The sequence below is a fragment of the Homo sapiens genome, chromosome 2, assembly GCF_000001405.40.
Source record: "Homo sapiens chromosome 2, GRCh38.p14 Primary Assembly".
NCBI classification, from domain to species: Eukaryota; Metazoa; Chordata; class Mammalia; order Primates; family Hominidae; genus Homo; species Homo sapiens.
In genome coordinates, this window is record NC_000002.12 from 225,525,553 (window position 1) to 225,541,878 (window position 16,326).

General features: G+C 40.3%; 1 protein-coding gene across 4 annotated transcripts in view, besides 1 other annotated feature; it reads left to right on the forward strand.

Annotated features, from left to right (window-relative positions):
• The window catches only part of NYAP2 (neuronal tyrosine-phosphorylated phosphoinositide-3-kinase adaptor 2), a 305,716-nt gene that overhangs the window by 127,614 nt on the left and 161,776 nt on the right, over positions 1 to 16,326 (forward strand). The window lies entirely within an intron of this gene.
• Positions 5,148 to 5,348: a silencer, noted in NCBI's record as "peak4060 fragment used in MPRA reporter construct". NCBI's record gives its function as "represses an SCP1 promoter by STARR-seq MPRAs in K562 erythroleukemia cells {active_cell/tissue: K562}" and the evidence as "EXISTENCE:reporter gene assay evidence [ECO:0000049][PMID:32103011]".

Consider the following 16,326-nt stretch of genomic DNA (forward strand, 5'->3'; position numbering starts at 1 on the left):
AGTGGGAGCCAAACAATGGGTACACATGGACAAACAGAGTAGAATAATAGACAACATTGGAGACTCCAAGAGGTAGAAGGATGGATGGTGGTGAGGGCTGAAAAATCATCTAGTGGATACAATGTGCACTATTTGAATGATGGGTACAACAAAAGCCCAGCACACAGATCTTGGTTTCATATCAGTGCTGCAGACATTAGCATTCTTTCTCTTCCTCAGCCTCAGTTTTCTCTCTGTAAGATGGAAATAACAATACTCACCATATGTGGTAGGCAGAATTCTAAGACGGTATTCAAGATTCCCCCACTCCCTGCTGTACTACTTCTGTATCATCTTTGGACCTGAGGCACAGTTGCTGGCTTGAAGATAGAGGGGCCATGTGGTAAGGCACATGGGCAGCCTCTGAGAGTTGAGAGCAGCACCATGGCTGAAAGTCAGCAAGAAAGGTGGGACCTGGTTTTATAACTGCAAGGAACTGAATTCTGCCAACAATGAGTGAGCCTGGAAGTAGATTTTTCCCTGGAACCTCCAAATGAAGATTCAGCTTGGCTGCTACCTTTATTTGAGCTTATGGGACCCTGAGCAGAGAACATAGCCTTTTGGATTCTGGCTGTGCCCAGACATCTGATCTACAGAAGTGTGAGCTAGTAAAGGTATTGATTTTTAAGCTGCTAAATTTGTGATCACTTGTTAAGCAGCAATCAAAAAATAATCCATCATACAAAGTTTCTAGACAGAGAAAAGCAACTTAGCAAAGCACCTGGCTTAGTGTCTGACAAATAGCAGATGCTTGATAACCCTACTTCCCTTCCCCTGTCATTGCTGGGCTGTATTCTCAGGTAGGGGAGGGTGGTTAAGACAACAGCAGTGACTTCCCAAATGTCCCTGGCCAGACTTTGAAAATAAATGAGATGATAGAGGTTCAGCAAATACTGACATATGTAGCCCTTTGAATAGCTGCTTAGCTTTTTCTGAATTTATTTGGCTCTTCTGAAAGAGTCTCCTTTTTCAGCAACATTTTTAGTTCCTTCAAATGGCTCAGCAATGGCTTTTCTGGTGGCTTTTTGACAGGCTTGTCTACATGGCTGCAACTTGCCTTGTTAATGCCTTTGTTCACATAGCAAGTGGCACTTGTACTTCATAGTGTGCCCCCTAGAAGTGCTCAAAACACTGCTTAGCACTATACTAATAAAGCACAAAGAAGGTTGAAAGCAAACTCTCAAAATCTCCATTGTTTTTTGCATTGGATAGTGTTCTAATGTGTATTCTTGTTTTATGAGGAAAGGATGTAGGAGATTATAACTGAAGGCCCACATTCCTGGATTTCTCTTCCCAGGTTGGCAGAATCAGATGCTGCTAGGCTTCCTAGTGTAAGACCCATCTGTCAAACCAGGCACTGCTCAGATGGAGATGGAGTTGCGCATCTACCATGTGTGATCTTTTTCTAAACGTACCCTGAGGCTCATGAATGAAACAGTTTGCAAGTCAAGTCATCATGCAATGCATCTTTCTCTCGGTTCTTGCCATGGTTGTTGTCCAGTCCAAAGAATACCCTGCCTTTTTACTGGTCTCACCCAACATCTTCCTATTAAGTTCAGCATTGGCCTAGTTTGTTCAGTGTCTTAGATTCATAATATGACTCATTACCCATGTTGTTGGCACAGATGGAGCCTTCCATGAGAAATCAATAAGCCCAATGTGCCTGTGTGTCTATTGTAATCAGGCATTGATTTAGAGGTGTGTTTTATTGCTGTGTAACGAACTACCACAAATGTAATGGATTAAAGCAACATACCTCTATTAGTTCACAGTTTCCTTGGGTTAGGAGTCAGCTCAGGATTTTCCAAGGCTTCAATCTAGGGTGTCAGCTGAAGCTGGAGTCTCATCTGAGGCTCAGAGTTCTTTCTCAAGCTTACATAGTTGTTGGCAAAACTTCTTTTTATTATTTATTTATGCTGTTATAGAACATGCAGTAGCTTGCTTCTCAAGAACAGAAGAGTTTCTTGGATGTTGATTCTGTCCTTTCAGGTAAAGCCTGGACCCTCTTTTAAAGAGTTCACCTGATTAACACAGGCCCACCCAGAACAATCTACTTTATTATTATTATTCTGTGACAGGGTCTTTCTTCTCTGTTGCGCAGGCTGGGGCACAGTGGCATGATCATAGCTTATTGCAGCCTCAAACTCCTGGGCTCAAGCAATCGTCCCACCTCAGCCTCTCAAGTAGCTTGGACTACAGTTATGTGTCACCATGCTCAGCTAATTTTTCTATTTTTTGTAGAGACAAGGTCTTGTTATGTTGCCTGGGCTCATCTCAAACTCCTGACTCAAATGATCCTCCTGTCTTGGCCTCCCAAAATGTTGGGATTACAGGTGTGAGCCACTGCACTGGGCCTAATCTCCTTTCTTATTAACTCAGAGTCAACCTAGTAAAAGCAATAATTATAACTGGAAAATCGCTTCACCTTCTTCCATAATCCCTAACTTAATCAAAGGAATGAAATACCATCATATTCATGGTCCTGCTTCTGCACTCAATGAGAGAGAATTATACAGGGTATAAACTCCAGAGGGCAGGAATCTTGTGTCCAACCTAGAATTCTGAGTTATCAGGGTGATACTAGGAACAGGCATATATTGCTTTCCTAGAAACCATGCAGCTATCTGGTTGAATGCTTCAAAAGTCAACTCATGGAAAGTTAATGAAAACTGCAAAAGGTAAACTAAAATTCTATGGGATAATAGAAATATCACAATACATTCTAAATACTTGGCAAATAAATAGGGTAAAATATAATTCCCTTCCCTATTTTTCTCTTTGTCTTTCCTTTGCTCCACATAATGGAAATCATCCCGCCGCAAAGTGCTTGGATTATTTTATTGGTTGGAAAAAATCTCATTTCCTTTGGCTTCACATGTGAGAAAATACACTCTTTAGTCCAGCAGTCCTCAGGCCAAAGAACTTCTAGAACATAAAGATCCAAGTAAAATACTGACACTAAAATGATATTAGGATTAAAATTAGAGTGTGCATAAACATCAGTCTGAATGATCCTCACTGCTGAGTTTCCTCATTGGGAGCTCTCTTGTTGACCCAGCATGGGAACTGGTCCCCTAAATCCCTAGAGAGTTGTGGAACAGATAATGCACAGTGTTCTTGATACAGCAAACCCACTTCCCAGTGCTTTCACCTGTGATTCTCCAGAACCCCTGGATTGTAGGGATTGGTGATGTTAATTTATGCTGTGTACCTTTCTGATCTCTGCCTGTTCTGTAGCATTTTGGTGAGAAATATGAGACTCGATGTTCCCAAGTTATACAATTCCTTAATTGCAACAATTGCATCAATTTCCAGTAATGGGTGAATAGACATCAAAAAGCATGTCTGCAGACGAAGTGGAGAAAGGGCAGAATACTAAATGTAACCCTCATTGCAACTTTCCCCGAAGTCTCTGTTTTTGTCTGGCCTCAAACCTATATAAAGATTGATCTCTTCTTTGCATTTATATGAAAGCATTAGAAAGTATTGTGCTAAATTATTGAATTAATAATTACTAGGATTTTCTAAACAAAATGGCAGAAAGGAGTTCATAACCTGCCTTTATTAAACGACTTCCACCTCTTTATCTCTTTTCTCATCAAATGTTTTACCTTTCCTTCATGTTTCTAGACTTCAACATGGCCCCTAAGACCTAAAGGAAATCGATGCCACCGTCCTCAGAAGGCACCTCAGAGCTTGCCTATCTTTTGTTTGTTTTTTGTTTTATGTTTTTTTGTTTGTTTGTTTTTGAGATAGAGTCTCTCTCTTGTCGCCCAGGCTGGAGTGAAGTGGCATGATCTCTGCTCATCACTGCAGCCTCTGCCTCCCAGGTTGAAGCCATTCTCTGCCTCAGCCCCCCGAGTAGCTGGCATTACAGACATGAGCCACCACGTCCAACTAATTTTTTATTTTTAGTAGAGACAGGGTTTTGCCATGTTGGACAGGGTAGTCTCAAACTCCTGGCCTCAAGTGATCTACCCGCCTCGGCCTCCATAAGTGCTGGGAAGACAGGCATGAACTACCGTGCCTGGCCCCTGCCTATATTTATATAAGCATGTTCCCTGGGAGATAACTTGGCTTCATTCTCGTCTTTCCAACTCAGTGTTTTTATTTTATTTTTATTATTTATTTTTTGAGACGGAGTCTCACTCTGTCGCCCAGGCTAGGGTGCAGTGGCACTATCTTGGCTCACTGCAACCTCTGCCTCCTGGGTTCAAGCAATTCTCCTGCTTCAGCCTCCTGAGTAGCTAAGAGTACAGGTGCCTGCCACCACACCTGGCTAATTTTTTGTATTTTTAGTAGAGACGGGGTTTCACCATGTTGGCCAGGATGGTCTCGATCTTCTGACCTCGTGATCCACCCACCTTGGCCTCCCAAAGTGTTGGGATTGCAGGCGTGAGCCACCGTGCCTGGCCTCAGTCAGTATTTTTTTAGAGAGTATACCTGACAAAAACATTTTTCCCATTTGATAATATAAAGCGTTTGGTACTGTACAAAACTATAAAATTATTTTTTTTTTAATTTTAAGAAAGTGACTTTTTCTTGTTTATACTGCTACTCTCCATCTCATAGATTTAATAGTAATGGAAAGAAATCTTTCTAATGGGTGAATGTACCCCAGAGCAGTCTGACAATGAAATTAACTCATTTGAGACTGCATCTTTGAGCAGGTGGCTCCTTCAGGCCACCGTCCTGCATCCCTCCCTTCCTGCTTAGCTGGCTACTGAAAGGCCTCCTGCACATGTTTGCTCTGAGGCCTCCACCCTCATCCAAAATCCACTGCTCTCTGATGCCCTAGCCATGACACTAAATTGAATCTCGGTTCTCTTCTCAATGTTGTCCTTTTATCCCTATCCTTTGGTATGTCTCTTCAGCATTTTAGACTATGAACCTCCATACTTCCTAAATCCCATGCTCCTTGGCTTTTTATGCCTAACCCTCTACTAATTTTCATCTTCTTACTACTCTATTTGTCTCCTTGAGGGTGTCTGTTGTTTTGCCTGATTCTTAAATGATGTCTCTGAACTCTCACTGGCTCTCCTGTCTTCTCACTCTAATCTTTGTTGAATAAATAAGTCATGAATTCCACATTATCTCCAGATGTCCCAATCTTCACACATACATCTATCTGTAGATATCACAGAGAGCCTTCAAACTTGTCATATCCACACTGACCCAGGCGTTTCCTCCATGGTTTTTTATCTTGACACCCAAGTTAGACATGCAAGAGCCTAATTGGATTGCACTCCTTCACTTGCCCTGATCTCTCATCAGTGATCAAGTCCAGCCAATTCTGCTCCACTTATGTCAGTCTCTCCACCTGTTTGCACTTTTATGCTCCTATCTCATTCAGGCCATCATGTTTCCCACCTGGACAATTGCATGGGCACCTAACTGGTCATCTTTCCTGCAGGTTCACTTTCACAAATCCATCATCCCTATTACTTTCAGAGAGGATTTTCTCACATGTGTATCCAATTATAGCACCATTCTGCTCATTTCATCTGATCGTGTGACTATCCTGCTTATCATTTATCTGATAAAACTGAACTCATTAGCATGACCTTTTTCATCTGCTCCTGCCTGCAGAGCCACACCTCCTGCCAACCATGCCTCTTACAGCCAACTCAGACTACCTAGTTTACTCCAGACAAACCATGCTTGTTCCTGCCTCTGTGCCCTTGCTTGTAAAATTTTCTTTCTGGAGTTTCTTTTCCAAGTTATTCTCTGCAACAAATTTCCACTCATCCCTCAAGGAACAGGGTCAACTACCTTCTCTGTAATAACTTATGTAGGCATTTTTCTGTGATTGAACTATACTTTGTGTACAATGCCATTATATCTGCTAATATATTTTATTGTAAATATCTGCCTATCTTTTTTGTATCCCAATGAGACTATACCTTAGAGACATGGACCTTGTCCTTTTGTCGTTGTACCTTTGATGCCTACTGCAGACGTGGGCTTAATAAGTAATGATGAATGGGAACATTTTGAATAATGTATGTTTTCATAAATAAGTCTTTCAGGAGACTAATTACTATGAAGAGTTAATGCACTTTCAGGCACCTTTAATGTAGAAAGAAGTTCCGATATTGGAGAGCTTAGAGAAAAGCATGGTGATTTATGATCCTCAGAGAGCGAGTGCATTTTCTCTCCATCCATCACTCAGGCCCTGCTTTGTTTATAATACAGCAACCACTCTGAATGATGTAAAAGATGAGATTGCTTTGCTGGCTCTTTCGGTTTGTAAAACCCTGCCTTTCTTCAGTTGTTTTGTATTTATGAATCTTGATTGGTACACAAACTAATTATGGGTTGTCACAAAGAATACTGTTGACAGACTAATGTGTTGTTGGCACCATGTATCTTTTACTTTATCCAAATAATATAAATCAAAGAATGTTCAGCTTGTGCCATTTATATAAGGTTAAAGAATAATGTTATCAATTGAGATGCAACAGAGAGCTGAGATTTCTTTTCCTTAAATGATTTCTGGATGTTAATTTTAATCTTTCTTATGCCTGTATATTTCCGGTTTCACTTAGCCATTTCTATCATATTCTTAGAGGACAGGTATATATTTCCAGATTCATTCCTTTTTTTCCATTATGTAGGGATCCAGCTTTTGAGCAGTTCTTCACCCTACCTTACAGTGTGTAAAAGCCATTTTTTAAGGTGGAGTGACTGCCTGTGTGCATAAATCTTGCTTTAATTGACTTCAGTGAAGCATAGACTTATTGCATAAAGAGTACTTTGATTTTATGGCTCTATAGCTGCACTAACAGTTTCTATTATATGAATTGCTATCTATGATTTTTCTTGTTAAGTAGGAGGGCAGTGATTTAAGACCTGCTTTTTACAATTTATTTTTAGCTATTAATATGTATTAAATTAAGTGGTCTACATGGAGCAGAACACAGGAACACATTGCCCTTTGGAAATCTCTGCTTTCTGACAACTTTGTCTAACCAGAACAGCTGAAAACTAAGAATAAGAAGGAACTTAGAGAAGCCAAACTCCTTCTTCTTGCACTAAAACTTGTGAATTTTAGTTTATTTCTTTCTTTAATTTTTAAACTTATTTTTACTTAGTATAAATTTGATTTGGGGTCTCTAACCCTATAGCATATTAGGAAACAATGTACAAGCAGGGGAAAAGAACATGAAAGGACTGGTACCTGCTACTAGCCAAAGTTTAAAGAATGTATACATAGCACCACCCACTTACAAGGCCTTGATTATGATCTGCCCTGTGTTGTTTTCAGTGTTTGCAGTGATGCCCTTGAAGATGTCATTAGTCAACAGATATTTACTGAGTGTCTACTATGCATGTGGCACGATACTATGCTAGGCAATAGAGAAACAAGAAAGATAGATTCTCTCCCTTAAAAGTCATGACAACCCAGTGTAGCCCACTGATGTCAACAGTGAAATGAAATCTGTGCTTTGGAAGGGAAGATACCAGGTATTTTGTGAGCATAGATCAAGGGCACCTACCCCAAACTAGAAGGGCCAAAGATGGCTTCTCAGAGGAAGTGTCTTTAACTGTTGAAAATAAGGACATATGTATTTTAGAAATATTTCTTATAAAAATGCTTAAAATGAAAAAGTATGTTGCTACTGAATAAAAATGCTCTTATGTCTCCAAAAATGTGGCTAACCAAACTGAGTAATGTCCTTGCAGTTCCAAGTAACAAAAGTTCTACTCTCCATATACAATCATTATTTAAGGAGTCCTGTTGTTTATTTTATCTTCTATAGTCTTCCATCTCTGTGTGATATAAGAGCTGGGCTATCTTTAAAAGAAAGCCAGCTGGGTGCGGTGGCTCATGCCTATAATCCCAGCACTTTGGAAGGCTAAGGCGGGTGGAGTGCTTGAGCTCGGGAGTTTGAAACTAGCCTAAGCAAAATGGAAAGACCCCATCTCTACTAAAAATACAAAACAAATAGCTGGGCATGGTGGTGTGCACCTGTGGTCCCAGGTACTTCTGAGGCTGAGACTGGAGGATCACTTGAGCCCAAGGGGTGGAGGTTGCAGTGAGCCAAGATCGCACCACTACACTCCAGCCTGGGTGACAGAGCAAGACTCTGTCTCAAAAAAAAAAAGTACATAGAAATGAAATTCAAATTAGAGATATTCACTTCCATATAGTAAAAAGACTCTGCTCCCATAAATTAAATAGTAGCCAGATAAATGAAAATTAGACCTCACTTGTTTCAATATTTTGTAATTTAATTTTTTCCCTAACTATGTCTAGGTAACTTGGCTATGGTTATTTACATGTCATATAAACATTTGCTATCAGATAAAGGAAGCCAGAGTTATACAGATCTGTTTCTTAACTGGCAGGTTATCCTATGTTTCTAACCAAAATTTACATTTCAGTATCTGTGAAAATCTTTGTTTTAGCAATATGAGTAAACTGGCTTGACAGGGAATACAAGTAAATTAAATGTAAAATTAATTGGCACATTAAAAAAAAACAACCGAATAAGGATTTCTTGATTTGATTAAAATGGCTAAATCAATTTGGAGATGTTGAGAAAACATTCCTGTATGATAGTTTAGGGAAATATTGCGTCTGAAGGCCTGTGCATACAACGATAAGCAGCTTCTATAATTTATAACCTAGGACAAGTGGGAGGACTAGCATTTCCCTCATTCCCCCAAAGGATGTGGGAATACTAACCGTAGCCATTGGCAACAAGTTAAATTCCCACAGCAGGGGCCAATGTAGGCATTCTTCAGAGAGACAGATGCTTGGAATCCATATGATTGTTCTTTAATAAATATTTATTGAGCACCTACTACGGGCCAAGCATTATTCTACAAGTCGCAGATATATCCATGAGCAAAAGTGAAATAGATGTTTACCTTTGAGGTGTTTATATTCTACAGAAGTAAGCAGTTGATAAATCATAAACATAATCCATAAACTGGCTAGTATGTTGGAAGATGATCAGTGCAATAGAAGAAAGAAAAATCCAAAGCAAGGTAAAGAGATGCAGAAGGAAATTTTAAGTAGAGGACAGAAAAGACATCATCTTGATATTTGAGCTAAAATATTGTATCAGTCTAGGCCCGACAGGAGAGAGAAACCTTATAGTAATTGGAACAGGAAAAGTTTACTGTAAAGAATCAGTAATGACAAGAGGATTGGAGTAAGAGAATTGTCTGGTAAAAAGTAAAGCAAGCTGCAAATAATACAAGAATAGAAGATACAAGGAGCAGCCACTAACTCCCAGGGCTGAGTCAGAGTAGCCTCTGGCCCAGGGCTAAGATCCAGACCTTGTTGGGAGTGCGCAGTTTTGCGTCATCGGAGCCAGAGACACTGCTATGGAACTGTGCAAGGCAGGACTTGCTGGAAATGCAGCCTTTGCAACTTGTCAGAGAATTACCCTCTAGGGTGCTGGGGAAAACTGTCCCCAGGAGTTTCTCACCAGAGATACTGCACTGCACTACATAATGGCCTGAGATCAGCAGGCGGCTAATAGCTTTTGGGTGTCTTAGAAGTTAAATGCCAAAGAAGCTGCATGTTCTGCAGCAGCTGAGCATGGAGAAGCCACCTGCACTGCAGAAGCTTGGCCAGTGAGATACAGGAACCAGGAAGCAAAACTCTTTTCTGCTTCAATGTTTCTCCAGTATCTTCTATGGACAAAACTTAACACTGGGCCAGCCAGCCCAGAAGAAAATGTTTGAAGAGCCTATTTCCTTTGTCACAAGCAGGGAAAGAAGATGGGTTTGGAAGTGAGATGCAATCAATTGATAGTTCCCAAAGATAGTTAGGAGATGTGGGATGACGTATGTAGATATCTTGTAACAGAGTGTTACAAGTGGCAAAAACAGTTGCTACAGAACCCAAAGGCAGAATAGTGCATCACAAGGAGGTCAGTGTTGAGGGAACAGTTTGGATCAAAAGGATAAGACCAGGAAATGAGATTGGAGAGGAAAAAGAAGGTGAGACCCTGCAGCTTTCCTTATAGGCTATCCTATGGCTTTGAGATTTATTCCAAGGGAGCATTGTGGTGGTCTGAGTGGAAGAGTGGCATGACTACTTGAAAACAACCATTGTGATCCCTATTGAGTATAGACGTACAGGGGTCAGATAGAATCAAGGAGGCCAGTCAGGTGGCTACTGCAGGAATACAGGAGACAGATGGTGGTTGCTTAGATGGAGGTAGGAACAGTGGAACAGTTGGTAAATAGTGAGAAAAGTGCTACATTTCCTATTGAATAAGCTACTCATAATCCTACCTCCATTCCTTCCTTACTGGGAAAGATAGATAGATATAGATATATCTAGAATATGTGTGTCTTATCCATAAAAATTTTTCTGTGACATAAAGATCCTAGACTCTATATAAACACTCATTAAATGTTTGCTGTTGATTACATTTACATTTTTTCTTGCAATTCAAAAGATTCCAAACTGCCAATGAGTTTCAGTAAGAGATCTATAGATGCTTAAATTATAAACATAGCAGCCATAGCTATTTCATCAAATAAATAATTGCAAAAGGCTGTATTTCACCTTCATATTTCTCAAAAATAAATCTAGTTCAGAGCTTATCTGGGATAAAGGCTACCCCTCAGTTGAACCCCCAACCCCTTTCCAGCTGCTGCTGTCAGTCGGCCAAGCCTTCTTCCTCCTGTTCTCCCAAGGCGCTACCACATGGTAGGCAGCACAGTGCTCTCAGCCTATGCCATTCCCTCTTGCCCTGAAAAATTCACCTGCTTCCTGCCCCTTGTCATTACTCATGGCATTACCTGCATGAAATGGTGGCCTATTTCCCCCTGGCCTTTGGGAAATTCTTCCCATCCTTCAAACTAGGCATTGCTAGTGGCCACACATTATGGAAGGGAGCACACAGAAAAGAATGTGCTGATGGGGTCCTTTGAGCTCTATATTCTTTTTATTGCTGTTGTTGCCTTGTTTTTTTCTTTTTTCATTTTTTGAGTATATAGTAGGTGTATATATTAATGGGGTACATAAGATATTTTTATATAACCATACAATGTGTAATAATCACGTCAGGGCAAATGGGGTCATCACCTTAAACATTTATTCTTTGTGTACTAAACAATCCAGTTATGCTAGTTTTTTTTAAATGTACTATTATTATTGACTATAGTCATCCTATTATGCTGTCAAGTAGGAGGTCTTATTCATTCTTTCTTTCTTTTTTCTTTCTTTTTTTTTTTGAGACAGAGTCTTGCTCTGTCACCCAGGATGGAGTGCAGTGGTGTGATCTCGTCTCACTGCAAGCTCCGCCTCCCGGGTTCACGCCATTCTCCTGCCTCAGCCTCCCGAATAGCTGGGACTACAAGTGCCCGCCACCACGCCCGGCTTTTTTATATTTTTTTTAGTAGAGACGAGGTTTCACCATGTTAGCCAGGATGGTCTCAATCTCCTTACCTTGTGATCCGCTCGCCTCGGCTTCCCAAAGTGCTGGGATTACAGGCGTGAGCCACTGAGCCCGGCCTTATTCATTCTTTCTAACTGTATTTTTGTACCCAATAACCATGCCCACTTTCCCCAACCCCCTACTACCATCCCAGCCTCTGGTAATCTTCCCTTCTCTCTCTGTCTTCATTTAATTTTTAGCTCCCACAAATAAGTGAGATCATGTGCAGTTTGTCTTTCTGTGCCTGGCTCATTTCACTTAACATAATTATTTCCAACTCCATCTATATTGTCACAAATGTCGGTATCTCACTTTTTTTTATGTCTGTGTATTAGTCTGTTTTCACACTGCTGATAAAGACATACCCGAGACTGGGCAATTTATAAAATAAAGAGATTTATTGGACTTACAGTTCCACATGGCTGGGGAGGCCTCACACCATGGCAGAAGGTGAAAGGCATGTCTCACTTGGTGGCAGATAAGACAAGAGAGTTTGTGCAGATATAATTCCCCCTTATAATAACCATCAGATCTCATGAGACTTATTCACTATCATGATAATGGCATGGGAAAGATCTGACCCCATGATTCAATTACCTCCCACCTGGTCCCTTCCACAACACTTGGGAATTCAAGATGAGATTTGGGTGGGGACACAGCCAAACCATATCATTCCACCCCGACCCCTCCCAAATCTCATGTCCTCACATTTCAAAACCAATCATGCCTTCCCAACAGTCCCCCAAAGTCTTAACTCATTTCAGTGTTAACTCAAAAGTCCACAGTCCAAAATCTCATCTGAGACAAGGCAAGTCCCTTCTGCCTTTGAGCCTGTAAAATCAAAAGCAAGTTAGTTACTTCCTAGATACAATGGGGATACAGGCATTGGATAAATACAGGCATTTCAAATGGGAGACATTGGCCAAAACAAAGTGGCTACAGGCCCCATGCAAGTCCAAAATCCAGTGGGGCAATCAAATCTTAAAGCTCCAAAATGATCTCCTTTTACTTCATGCATCACATCCAGGTAACACTGATGCAAGAGGTGGGTTCCCATGGTCTCAGGCAGCTCCCCTGTGGCTTTGCATGGTACAGCCTCCCTCCTGGCTGCTTTCACAGGCTGGCGTTTAGTGTCTGCAGTTTTTCCAGGTGCATGGTGAAAGCTGTCAGTGAATCTACCATTCTGGAATCAGGAGGATGGTGGCTGTCTTCTCACAACTCCACTAGACAGTACCCTAGTAGGGACTCCATGTGGGGGCTCCAACCCCACATTTCCCTTCCACACTGTCCTAGCAGAGGTTCTCCATGAGGGCCCCACCCTGCTCAAACTTCTGTCTGGATATCCAGGCATTTCCATACATCTTCTGAAAACTAGGTGGGGGTTCCCAAACCCCAATTCTTGACTTCTGTGCACTGGCAGGCTCAACACCATGTGGAAGCTGCCAAGGTTTGAGGCTTGAACCCTCTGAAGCCATGGACTGAGCTCTATGTTGGCCCTTTTTCAGCCAGGCTTGAGTGGCTGGGATGCAGGGCACCAAGTCCCTAGGCTGCACACAGCACAGGGACCCTGGGCCTGGCCCACAAAACCACGTTTTCCTCCTAGGCCTCTAGGCTTGTAATGGGAGAGGTTGCTGTGAAGACCTCTGACATGCTCTGGAGACATTTTCCCCATTGTCTTGGGGATTAATATTGGCCTCCTTGTTACTTATGCAAACTACTTCAGCTGGCTTGAATTTCTCCTCAGAAAATGAGATTTTCTTTTCTTTTCTTTTCTTTTCTTTTCTTTCTTTCTTTCTTTCTTTCTTTCTTTCTTTCTTTCTTTCTTTCTTTCTTTCTTTCTTTCTTTCTTTGTTTTTATTATTATACTTTAAGTTCTGGGATACATGTGCAGAACATGCAGGCTTGTCACATAGGTATACACGTGCCATGGTGACTTGCTGCACCCAACAACCCGTCATCTACATTAGATATTTCTCCTAATGCTATCCCTCCCCTAGCCCTTCACCTCCTGACAGGCCCTGGTGTGTCATGTTCCCCTCCCCGTGTCTGTGTGTTCTCATTGTTCAATTCCCACTTATGAGTGAGAACATGTGGTGTTTAGTTTTCTGTTCCTGTGTTAGTTTGCTGAGAATGATGATTTCTAGCTTCATCCACGTCCTTGCAAAAGATATAAACACATCCTTTTTATGGCTGCATAGTATTCCATGCTGTATATGTGCCACATTTTCTTAATCCAGTCTATCATTGATGGGCATTTGGGTTGGTTCCAAGTCTTTGCTATTTGTGAATAGTGCTGCAATAAACATACATGTGCATGTGTCTTTATAGTAGAATGATTTATAATCCTTTGGGTATATACCCAGTAATGGGATTGCTGGGTCAAATGGTATTTCTTGTTCTAGATCCTTGAGGAATTGCCACACTGTCTTCCACAATGGTTGAACTAATTTATACTCCCATTAACAATGTAAAACCATTCCTGTTTCTCCACATCCTCTCCAGCATCTATTGATTCCTGACATTTTAATGATTGCCATTCTAACTGGTGTGAGATGGTATCTCATTATTGTTTTGATTTGCATTTTTCTAATGACCAGTGTTGATGAGCTTATTTTCATGTTTCTTGGCCACATAAATGTCTTCTTTTGAGAAGTGTCTGTTCATCTCCTTTGACCACTTTTTGTTGGGGTTGTTTGATTTTTTTTTTCTGATAAATTTGTGAAGTTCTTTGTAGATTCTGGATATTAGTCCTTTGTCAGATGGATAGATTGCAAAAATTTTCTGAAAATGGGATTTTCTTTTCTATCACATTGTCAGGCTGCAAATTTTCCAAACTTTTATGCTCTGCTTCCCTTATAAAATGGAATGCTTTTAACAGAACCCAAGTCAACTCTTGAATGCTTTGCTGCTTAGAAATTTCTTCTGCCAGATACCCTTAATCATCTCTCTCAAGTTCAAAGTTCCACATATCTCTAGGGCAGGGGCAAAATGCTGTCAGTCTCTTAGCTAAAACATAACAAGCATCACTTTTGCTCCAGTTCCCAACAATTTCCTCATTTCCATCTGAGACCACGTCAGCCTGGACCTTATTGTTCATATAATTATCAGCATTTTTGTCAAAGCCATTCAACAAATATCTTGGAAATTCAAAATTTTCCCAAGTTTTCCTGTCTTCTTCTGAGCCCTCAAAACTGTTCCAACCTCTGCCTGTTACCCAGTTCCAAAGTCGCTTCCACTTATTCAGATATCTTTTCAGGATTGCCCTACTCTACTAGAACCAATTTACTGCATTAGTTTGTTTTCAGGCTGCTGATGAATACATACTTGAGACTGGGCAATTTATAAAAGAAAGAGTTTTATTGGACTTACAGTTCCACATGTCTGGGCAGGCCTCACAATCATGGTGGAAGGTGAAAGGCACGTCTCACATGGTGGCAGACAAGACAAGAGAGCTTGTGCAGGAATACTCCCCCTTATAATAACCATCCAATCTCATGAGACTTTATCACTGTCATGAGAATAGCAGAGGAAAGATCTGACCCCATGACTCAATTACTTCCCACTTGGTCCCTTCCACAACACTTGGAAATTCAAGATGAGATTTGGGTGGGGACACAGCCAAATCATATCAGGCTGAATAGTATTCCATTGTGTATATGTACCATGTTTTCTTTATCCATTCATCTATTGATGGACACTTAGGTTACTTCCAAATCTTGGCTGTTGTGAGTAGTGCTGCAAGAAACATGGGAGTGCAGATGTCTCTTTGACATACTGATTTCTATTCTTTTGGATATATACTTAGTTGTGGGATTATTGGAACATATAGTACCTCTATTTTTAGTTTTTTGAGAAATCTCCAAAGTGTTCTCCATAATGGTTTTACTAATTAACACTCCCACCAACTGTCTATGAGGGTTCATTTTTTTCCATATCCACGCCAGCCTTTGTTATTGCCTGTCTTTTTAATTGGGAAAAGCCATTTTAATTTTGATGAGATGATATTTATTGTAGTTTTGATTTGCATTTCTTTGATGATCAATGATGTTGGACACCTTTTCATATACCTGTTTGCAATTTGTATGTCTTCTTATGATAAATATCTGTTCAGATAGTTGCCCATTTTTAAGTCAGGTTATTATATTTTTTACTATAGAGTTGTTTGAGCTCCTTATATATTCAGGTTTTAAATCCCTTGTTAGGTGGATAGTTTGCAAATATTTTATTCCATTTTGTAGGTTGTCTCTTCACTTTGTTTATTGTTTCCTTTGCTGTTTAGGAACTTTTAAACTTGATATAATCCCATGTGTCCATTTTTGCTTTAGTTGCCTGTGCTTCTGGGGTATTACTCAATAAATCTTTGCCCAGTCCGATGTCCTGGAGAGTTTCCCCAATGTTTAATTTTAGCGGTTTCATGATTTGAGGTCTTAGATTTAAGTCATTAATCCATTTTGATTTGATTTTTGTATATGCCAAGAGATAGGGATCTAATTTCATTCTTCTGCATATGGATATCCCATTTTCCAAGCACCTTTTATTGAAGAGACTGTCTTTTCCCAAATGTATGTTCTTGGAACTTTTGTTGAAGAGGATTTTACTTTAGATATATGAATTTGTTTCTAGGTTCTCTGTTCTGTTCCATTGGTCTATGTGTCTGTTTTTATGCCAGTGCTATGCTGTTTGTGTTACTATACCTCTGCAATATCATTTGAGGTCAAGTAATATGATTCCTCCAGTTTTGTTCTTTTGCTTGAGATAGCTTTAGCTATTCTAGGACTTTGTGGTTCCATATAAATTTTAGAATTGTTTTTCTATTCCTGTGAAGAATGTCATTGGTATTTTGATAAAGGTTGCATTGAATCTGGATATTGCTTTGGGG